The 10,033-nt window shown below is 39.7% G+C and overlaps 1 protein-coding gene and 1 pseudogene across 34 annotated transcripts in view; one reads left to right on the top strand and one right to left on the bottom strand.

Annotated features, from left to right (window-relative positions):
• The window catches only part of ANKRD28 (ankyrin repeat domain 28), a 192,579-nt gene that overhangs the window by 120,715 nt on the left and 61,831 nt on the right, over positions 1 to 10,033 (top strand). For 30 of the 34 annotated variants that reach the window (XR_007095653.1, NR_146111.1, NR_146112.2 and 27 more), the window contains 2 exons: positions 1,867 to 2,067; positions 3,603 to 3,690. Coding sequence is in view for 30 of the 34 variants with exons in the window: in XM_047447807.1 (XP_047303763.1) it covers positions 1,867 to 2,067; positions 3,603 to 3,690 (289 nt within the window). In the remaining 4 variants the exon portion in view is untranslated. The remainder of the gene's footprint in view (positions 1 to 1,866; positions 2,068 to 3,602; positions 3,691 to 10,033) is intronic. The other 4 variants (XM_047447809.1, XM_047447810.1, XM_047447803.1 and 1 more) reach the window with 1 other exon arrangement.
• RN7SL4P (RNA, 7SL, cytoplasmic 4, pseudogene) lies at positions 314 to 585 on the bottom strand (annotated as a pseudogene).

Genomic DNA, 10,033 nt, shown 5'->3' with positions numbered 1-10,033 from the left:
CTTAAAAAAAGAACAGGATAACAGCGATGTTTAGGGAACAAGGGAGATAACCATTAGGTCAGGCTGCCTGAGAGCCGGGCGGAACAGAGCCATATTTATCTTCTTTCAAAAGCAAATAGGAGAAATATCGCTGAATTCTTTTTCTCAGCAAGGAACATCCCTGAGAAAGAGAATGCATTCCTAGGGGGAGGTCTCTAAAATGGCTGCTCTGGGAACGTCTGTCTTTTTACACTTGCAGATAAGGGATGAAATAAGCCCCAGTCTCCCATAGCGCTCCCAGGCCTATTAGGAAGAGGAAATTCCCACCTCATAAATTTTGGTCAGACCAGTTGTCTGCTCACAAACTCTGTCTCCTGATCAGCACGGGAGTTTTGACCTGCTCTGTTTCCGACCTGGGCCGGTTCACCCCTCCTTAGGCAACCTGGTGGTCCCCCGCTCCCGGGAGGTCACCATATTGATGCCGAACTTAGTGCGGACACCCGATCGGCATAGCGCACTACAGCCCAGAACTCCTGGGCTCAAGCGATCCTCCCACCTCAGCCTCCCGAGTAGCTGGGACTACAGGCACGCGCCACTGTGCCCGGCCCCTGTCTCCTGATAAGATGTTATCAATGACAATGTGTGCCCAAAACTTCATTAGCAATGTTAATTTCACCTGGTCCTGTGATCTCGCCCTGCCTCCATTTGCCTTGTAATATTTTATTACCTTGTGAAGCATGTGATCTCTGTGACTCATACCCTATTCGTACACTCCCTCCCCTTTTGAAAATCACTAATAAAAACTTGCTGGTTTTGCGGCTTGGGCATGTGATGTCTCCCCAGACACCCAGCTTTAAAATTTCTCTCTTTTGTACTCTTTCCCTTTATTTCTCAGACCAGCCGACACTTAGGGAAAATAGAAAAGGACTCACTTTGAATTATTGGGGGCAGGTTCCCCGATAATTTACCAAAAATTAGGATTATCACTGAAAGAAAAATTTTGTTGAGTTTAGTTCTGATTATATTGCTTAATGTTGATGGCATACTGAATTCCTTGGAATCCTGCCATGAGTCCAATTTATAGAGGTAGTGTTGTGATGTTTTCCATGCGCTTCTGGGAGATAAATCCCTTGGACAGTAGACTCTTAAATTGCCTTAACTTTCTCTCTAAGCAGCACTGCAAAAAGAACCTTGTCTATGTTGTGTCTTTTTTTTTTTTTTAATGAAATTGATCCTAGTGATTTTTCATTTTGTCAAATATAGCATGTATAATACATTGAGAAATAGTATGTTTTTAATTTTTATATATGCAGTGTAAAAAATCTATTGCTTAAAATTGTTCAAAGAGCCAGGTGTGGCTCTATGACTGGCTCATGTTTGTAACCCCAACACTTCAGGAGGCCAAGGAAGGAGGATCACTTGAGGCCAGGAGTGTGAGACCAGCCTGGGCAACATAGCAAGACCTTGTCTCTACAAAATAACTAAAAAATTAGCCAGGGGTGGTGGCATGCACCTGTAGTCCTAGCTACTCAGGAAGCAAAGGTGGGAGGATCACTTAAGCCAAGGAATTTGAAGTTACGGTGAGCTATGATTGCTCTCTTGCACATTTTGATAGGAATGTTTATGCATTTAATGGTAGGGTAGGGAAAGGGAATGTTTGATCTTGATGCATCTTATATGGCTCTGAGTACTCTCAGTATCGCTTTACATTCAAAATATTTTCTTTCCTTGGGTAAATTCCTACTTGTTTATAGTGAGTTCTATGAGAGCTTTTTTATTTTCTTCATATGTAGATACATATTTATACACACACACGCACACTATATATAGAAATAATTTCTCAAACTCTTAACTCATTTGTCTTTTATAACTTTTCATATGTTTTAGGAAGCAGTTCAGGTACTTTTGAAGCATTCTGCAGATGTTAATGCTCGAGACAAAAATTGGCAAACCCCTTTACATATAGCTGCTGCTAATAAAGCTGTAAAGTGTGCTGAAGCTTTGGTACCTCTTCTGAGTAATGTAAACGTATCTGATCGAGCAGGGAGGACTGCATTACATCATGCAGCTTTCAGTGGACATGGTGAGGTAGGTGGCATTCAATTAGACCATTATTTTTCTCTCCTCCTGTCCACCCCCCACTTATTAAAGAACTTGCATTTTTGCATAGTAAAGGCATACAGAACTATTTATCTTTCTCATTTTTGTCTAATTTTGCCTCCTTTTATAACTTTCTCAAATTTAGAAATGTATGTAGTAGATACTACTTGTGCACAGTTAACCTGTGGTGACCAAGGAAAACAATACCAACTCTTAACACAACAGGAAAAGTATGTTCTATTATTGTGGCAGGAAAAATATGTGAAGACAGAGATATGTTATTGTTCTTCCAGAAGTAAATAGCAAAGGAAGGCAGAATTTAGAAAACATGCTTTTTAGTAGTTTATTAACATTTAGTCAAGATAATACTTTAGTGACAGAACCATCAAAACAATTTAAGAAAATTGCTATTTAGTTATCTTACACAACAAACGTTGTCTGTGCTAGGTGTCATAGCAAAGATTGGGGTTTATGTGTACACCAAAGATTTAGAGAAGGTAACAGAAGAACCTTTGAAGCCAACTTGTCTAGTCTTTCATTTTTGTTGCAGGGGTAGGAACTTATAGGTAAAGTAACATTCCCAAGATTCTGTGGCTGGGAGCTAGTGGCTGCCATGTCTTTTTCAAAGTAGTTCCCACTTATCTACAGAGGATATGTTCCTGGACCCCCTATGGATGCCTGAAACATTGGATAGTACCAAACCCTATAGATACTGTGTTTTTTTCCTATACATACCGATGATAAAATTTAATTTATAATTAAGGCACAGTAAGAGATAATAATATGGAACAATTTTAATACAAGTTACATGAATGTAGTCTATCTCTCAAAATATCCCACTGTAACTGTAGTGTAGTCACCTGTTTTCAGACTATGGTTGACAGCAGGTAATTGAATGCAGAAAGTGGAACTGCAGATAAGGGGAGACTACTGTACTTCTCTGATTTTCCAGTGTAAAGAATCCTTGCCTCTACTGCAGTTAAGGTTACAGATGTATCCCTATTTGAGATCTGCGGTAGCCTTCCAGTGGAGAAATTATTGTAAATATGGTTAGTTGCAATTATTATTTTTGGTACATTGTGAGGTAAGCAGACTATGCAGTGACTGACCTTCAGGTATAATTATACTGTAGGCACTATGTTTGTGTTTGAATTAAGTTTAAGACATTTCTAGAATGAGAATGCACTTTTAACATTTTGGACTATGAATAGGAACAAAACCTCTTATTAAATATTTCAGTCTTAGACTTTCCAGATTTGTACTTAGTTCATAAAATACCAAGGCACAAAGTGGCATCCTAAAAAGGTACTGATGCCTGACTTCAGTAGCACCCACAGTTAACCTTTTTTTCATGTTTTGTCCTGTTATGTTAAATGACCTTCAGTATTTAGTCTAGCTCCTTCTGTTCAGCAACTGCAGAAATTTAGTGCCAGAGAAGTTGAGATAAGTAACTGTCAGAAATGTACATTCATAGACAATTGTGCTTCACAATTTTGATGACACTGTGTTTACTTCTATTCCAGATGGTCAAACTACTCTTGTCTAGAGGTGCCAATATTAATGCTTTTGACAAGAAAGATAGGCGTGCTATCCATTGGGCAGCATATATGGGTATGTACTTTTTAAATTTAGTTTTTGATATTATATATTTAGAAAAGTTGTACATTTCAAGTTCTTGCTGTTTGTATAGCATTTGTCTTTAAGGGTACTGAAAAGCTACACAGTATCTGAGTTTGATGCCCAGGTAGAACAACCCTGGTAATGGGGGAGGTTTGGAGTACACTGGGTCCAGTTCATCTAAAAGCTGTTTGAAATTAATTCCATTTACCCTTAAAAAAAGAGATGTCCCAGACACAGGCCTGGAATACATAATTTAGGATTGATGTTTACTAAAGCCCATTCTTATACCCATTTTTGTTTGTATGAGAATATAAGGTAAAAGTAACAAAGATGCATTAAGAAGCCTATTATTTTGGGCCAACCAGTGGGTTAAATGTGTATTACCATGTTTGATTTCTATAATAGTAAATTTATAGAAAGAAACTGGGGCTTGGAATACAGACTTTTTTGCTGTAACATAATATATATGTTCTTGAAAAATCTTACAGTCTGCAAAATTGTACTCTAAAACTAATAGAGCTCATGGGAATAATAGGCCTGGGGTAGACCACCCAAAACCTATGCAACCGTGTGACCACAGCACTAACAGAAACATTAATTGGTTCTTGCAGAGCCGGGGAGACAAATCAGCCTATTACAGGATATTTTTAAATGCACAAAAACAGCAGAATAGAAATGCTCGCTTCTGGATGCTAAAACTGCCGAGGAAGGTAGATCTCTAAGTATAGAGAAAGTACACCTTGCCATAAATCCTTAAAGTCCTATAAGGCTGGGGTTGTGCCTCTGGTAAGAAGCCATGGTTGTAGACATTCATTTTTCAAGGTTCTTAAAACAGCTGAAAGAACTCACTTTGCAGCCATAGAGCTCAGGGCTTTTTTTCTTCCTGCCAGAGGTTATAATCCTGTGCTTCTGCTATTTTAACTCCTGGGTGGGAAAAAGCACATATGAACTGACATGTTTTCTGTGTAATATTTGTATCATTCCCTGATTTACCAGTCACATTACCTGATTACAAAGACATCTAGTTAACCACTTTTCTAAGAGCCATAGCCTATCCTCATTACTTTCTGTTCTTGGTTTTGTCTTTTCTTGACTCTCATTTAAAAATAAAAGATTAACAGAAGATTCAATGGAGGAATATTAACTCAAGAACTATATAGTCCATCCCTCATATATGTGGAGGATTGGTTCCAGGACCACCTGCTTATACCCAAATCCTTGCATATGGAAGTCCCATAGTCAGCCATGGGGAACCCCTATGTACAAAAAGTTGGCTCTCCGTGTATGAGCGTTTCACATCCCCTGAATACTATATTTTTGAACCACATGTGGTAGAAAAAAATCCATATATAAGTGGACCCACACAGTTCAAACTTTTGTTATTCCAGGGTCAACTGTATAATATGTAAAATAGATACAAACCAGTTATAATACACTCTTTCTAGATAAATAAGTCTATACATAACATGTCTGTATATTTCAAACCAGTTATAGATACCCACAAGGCCCAGGGAAATCCTATGCCTATAATGAAAACAACCAAAAGCAGTAGAATCCTTTTTCTTTTTTAAGAAAAGTTTTGAAAATCTTTATTCAATTCCAGTATAGTTACTCTGAAAAAAAAATTCTACATAGGTATACTAAATTGAAGATTGTGATGTACAAAACCCACTCTCATTACCAATAAAACATTTAAAATAAGGTGTCAACAGTGATTTTTTACAAAAGCAACAGCATTCATGCATCAGAGACCTTACCTTATCTCTCTCCTTTGTATCAGAAAATTACTACATTTTGAGAAATGATATCAATTGAATAGATGAAATATTATCACCGAAGAATAGTCACATAAAGCATGATTAATTTTAAGAAATGATATTTGAAGAAAATATTAAAGTGCCTTCAATATTTCTAACAGTATGTCCACAGAAAAGAAAAACATAGTTAGAATTAAGCAGATAAATGATGAAGTTGGGAATAGACGGTAATATGTCATTTTTCGTTCCCTTTTCAATAAGCCTCAGAAGGCAATCCCAGATCAGCTCACCACAACCAAAGTGAGCATGCTGATTTTCCCACTCTTGCTTATCCCCATATGACAGTATTTCTCCTTCGAAAAGGTTCTTCAGTAGTTCGTAAGAGTATTTCAGAGGTCCATGGTGAGCAAGAACCTGAAGTAATCTGTAGTTAGCAAACATGTAATACTGGAGATGTGTTTTTGTTTTTGTTTTTGTTTGAGACAGAGTCTTGCTCTGTCACCCAGGCTGGAGTGCAGCGGCACGATCTCAGCTCACTCAAGTCCACCTCCCAGGTTCAAGCGATTCTCATGCCTCAGCCTCCTGAGTAGCTGGGATTACAGGCACCCGCCACCACACCTGGCTAACTTTTTTGTATTTTTAGTAGAGACACGGTTTCACCATGTTGTCCAGGCTGGTCTCAAACTCCTGACTTCAGGTGATCGGTCTGCCTCTGCCTCCCAAAGTGCTGGGATTACAGGTGTGAGCCACTATGCCTGGTCTGGAGATGTCTTAAAGCAGCCATCTCCTTTTTCTTCTAATACTTTCCACATATCTGTTACAAGGATTTGGGCTTGTTTGTAAAAATAAACTTTCTTCCCCTCAAATGGGAAAAAACGTGCCTCCAGACGTTTTCAACAGAATTTTCCTGGCTTCATCGAGAATCCAATGCCTCTCTTCTGTCAAAGGCATGAGAGGAAACATTTGTTTCAGAATGAAGTATATGCCAAACTTGATCTAGGGTTGTTAACTGTGGCATAGTATGAGGTAATAGTAGTTGATGTCCCTTTGCTGAAGGATCTGTTGACTGCCGCGACTGCAGGGACCAATACCATATGTTCTCCCCCATACCTCACAACACACTTTTGCGTGTCCTGCTCTCACCAAATAGCAGATAAGGTTAAGTGTGTCTGTCATGAACACTGAGTTGACCATGGTCTTACCAGCTCCCCTGGGATTGGGATTTAGCTCATGAAGCATCTTCCACCTCTCCACATACAGCTCTGGCCCCTTCACCTTGGCCAGCAGCGGTTCTGCCACCCTGTGTATGTATGCCTCTGCTTTCAGTGAACACATCCCAACTGTGTTCTGCAGTGAATTTAATTTAATTCCCTGGGTGATAGAAGACTGTGCATTCTCCCCCTCCCCTTTCAGACTGTGGAGTGATGCTTTTGACCTCCATTGGGGCAAACTCTTTCCTTTCTAAGCGGGCAACATCCAGAGTCCCTCTGTACTTCAGAGTTTCTACCCACTATGGGGTCATCACCCTAAACAGGGTCCTGCTCTCTCCGGGAGTGGCACTGAGAACTGAGTGCAGCTAAAGTACAGCCTTTCTCCCATCACACTTGCATGACTAGGAAACTGTAGAGACCATGTAGCCATGCACTGGGCAGAAGCCCGAGAATCCATATTGCATTGCAGCTCTGACCTTCAGTGTGAGTGTAAAGGAAGATTAAAAAAAAAATGTAACATCCTTTTCAAATGTCCCCTCCCCACACACCCCCCCCCCCTTTTTTTTTTTTTTTTTTTTTTTTTTGAGACAGTTTCACCCTTGTTGTCCAGGCTGGAGTGCAATGGCGTGATCTCGGCTCACTGCAACCTCCGCCTCCCAGGTTCAAGCGATTCTTCTGCCTCCGCCTCCCGAGTAGCTGGGACTACAGGCGCCTGCCACCACGCCCAGCTAATTTTTGTATATTTAGTAGAGATGAGGTTTCACCATGTTGACCAGGCTGGTCTTGAACTTCTGCAAATGTCCCTATTTTTAAAGCTGAAAGCTTGGTGTATGGTGGTTTACACCAAAGATATGTGCCGCTAGTTATGTACTGGGCCATTTTCTTGTGTTAATTGAAGGTAATAGCCAGAAGCAAGTTCCGTATTGCATCTTAAGGTCCCTTTCTCACAGCCTGTAGTTTTTCATCTTGGTCTTTCTGAATATTCTGGTGTGGCTTACTCTTCAAGACAGGAACAACCAGGTTATGTGATGTAAAACTGTACATCTTACGTTAAGAGGCTTACATGGTAAGCAGAGTGCATCAGTGTTTTTACCTACTAAGAATTAAGCTTGACTAAACAACTGTTTTCATACAACTGAAGGCCAGGGGGATTTTGCAGGTTGCCTGTAGTTGAGCTCCCAGAATAGTTGAATGTGTGTATTTCAAGGGGGCCAGAATGGCTCTGTTGTTTCTCACCCGCTAAGTGTCACTTTTTAGGCATCTCAGTTGAGGTTGAAAAAGATATTCTGTGTTTCCTGGACCTCACCACAAGTTTTAGTCTATTTTGTGCTACTAAAATTAAATGTCATAGACTGGGTAATTTATAAAGAACAGAAATTTTATTTCCTTACAGTTCTGTAGGCTGGGAAGTCCAGGATCAAGGCACTAGCATCTAGTGAGGGCCCTCTTGAAGCACCACATTGTGGGGAGTCAAACTCATCTTTTTTAAGGAGCTCGATCCCAAGATAGCATTGATATGTTCGTGAGGACAGAGCCCTTATTGCCTAATCACCTCTTAAAGTTCCCACCTCTTAACACTGTTGCCTTGGGGATTACACTTCCAACATATGAACTTCGGAGGACACATTTAAACCATAGTACCATATAGCACTGCCCATTTAATTTATGAGCATAACTAGGCAGAGATTTATAATTATCCTTTTTCTGTCTCTTCCTTCCCTGAAGCACAGAATAAGATGAATATCGACATATAGCTTCTAAAACTGTTCAGCCATTCTAGGTATGCAGGATTAAAGAGTTAAATATGTGAAAGTAAGAAGCTATTGACTGGTCACCTCTCTTACAGACAAACCTAAAGTACAAGCATTGTCACCTCTAGGTTATATTCAGAGAATTCATCAATGTTAGTGTAAGAGACATTGGGGATTATGTGTAGTCTTGTAATTTATTTATCCCAGTTTTCCTTATTAGCCCTGGCTTTCCATTTCCTGGTTGAGGCTCCGTTAATTTCCTTTTAGGCCCTACCTCTTATACTTATGCTATTGAATTATTTGTCATTGTTCCCTAGCGCCCCACCTCATCTCCAAATGAATTGATCATTTTCTTCTTCCCACCTTGTGCTTGCTCCTGCCATCAACCTTTGTCAAGGTCCCTTTACACATTCATCTTTCCTGTTGCTTTCAGTACTTTTAGAAATATTCAGCCAAGTTTAGCTTCAAATTACTTTATTGTGATGACTTTGACACAGAAGGTACTGAATAAATATTTTTTACCATGGGCTGGGCATGGTCACTTATGCCTGTAATCCCAACAACTTGGGAGGCTGAGGTGGGAAGATCCTTGAGCCCAGGAGTTGAAGACCAGCCTGGGCAACATAGTGAGACCCTCTCTCTACAAAAAAAAGAAAATTAATATTAGCTGGGTGTGGTGGCACACACCTCACTTGAGCCCAGGAGGTCGAGGCTGCAGTGAGCTGTGATCGCACCACTGCATTCCAGCCAAGGTGACAGAGCCAAAACCGTCTCAAAAATTTTTTAATTGATTTTTAAAAATTACCTTAACACCTCATTGCATTATTTCTTTTCTAGAAACATAATAGTAGATATTTCTTTTTCATATTAAAATGGGGGGAAAGAGGCTGTAAATATCTACTTTAATTGATAATTTATATATAAACAACTGAATCTGCCTGGTTCTTTATGCGTCTTGCAGTATCTTGGCTTAATTTTTTTGAGGGAGGGGTGCCTCTGTTTGAAAGCCTCATTTATTAACTTTTTATAGACTCATTATCTATGAAGGGATTTTTAAAATGACATCACGAGCAATTTCTTCAATGTAACTAATATATTTTGGATGCTTGTTTTCTATGCTGCTCTTGGCCTTGTGGAACATATCAAGAAGTAGAACAGCCTTCTGAAAGTATATATTTGGGGATTCATGCACAAAAAGTAATTAAAGAGTTAGTAATTAATGATTCCGTTTACGAAACATCACAAGGCTTATAGGGCTTCTAGGGAAGAGAGTTGATTGGGTTGGTCAGGAAAGGTTGGATCTGACATGTTTCTTCAAGGACTAGTATAATAGCAATGATTGGGAGGAGACATCCAAGCAGAACGTTCCACATAAAGAAGGTGTTACATGAACAAAGACACAGAGGTGGGAAGGATTGTGGGAGAAGGAGAAAACACTGTATAATCTAATCTGACAAAAAGTGACAAGTTATGAAAGGAGAATAGTGGTCCTCTCACCTTCCAGATACATGGCCCCCTTCCTGGCCTTTCTATGTAGTTGAGTGGGGCCTAGGACTAGTTTTGGCTAATGGATGAAAGCAACATCAGTCTGGGCTGGAGCATTTAATTACTGATG

This window comes from Homo sapiens, chromosome 3, assembly GCF_000001405.40.
Source record: "Homo sapiens chromosome 3, GRCh38.p14 Primary Assembly".
Lineage (NCBI taxonomy): Eukaryota > Metazoa > Chordata > Mammalia > Primates > Hominidae > Homo > Homo sapiens.
This window is presented reverse-complemented; position numbering and strand designations above follow the sequence as displayed.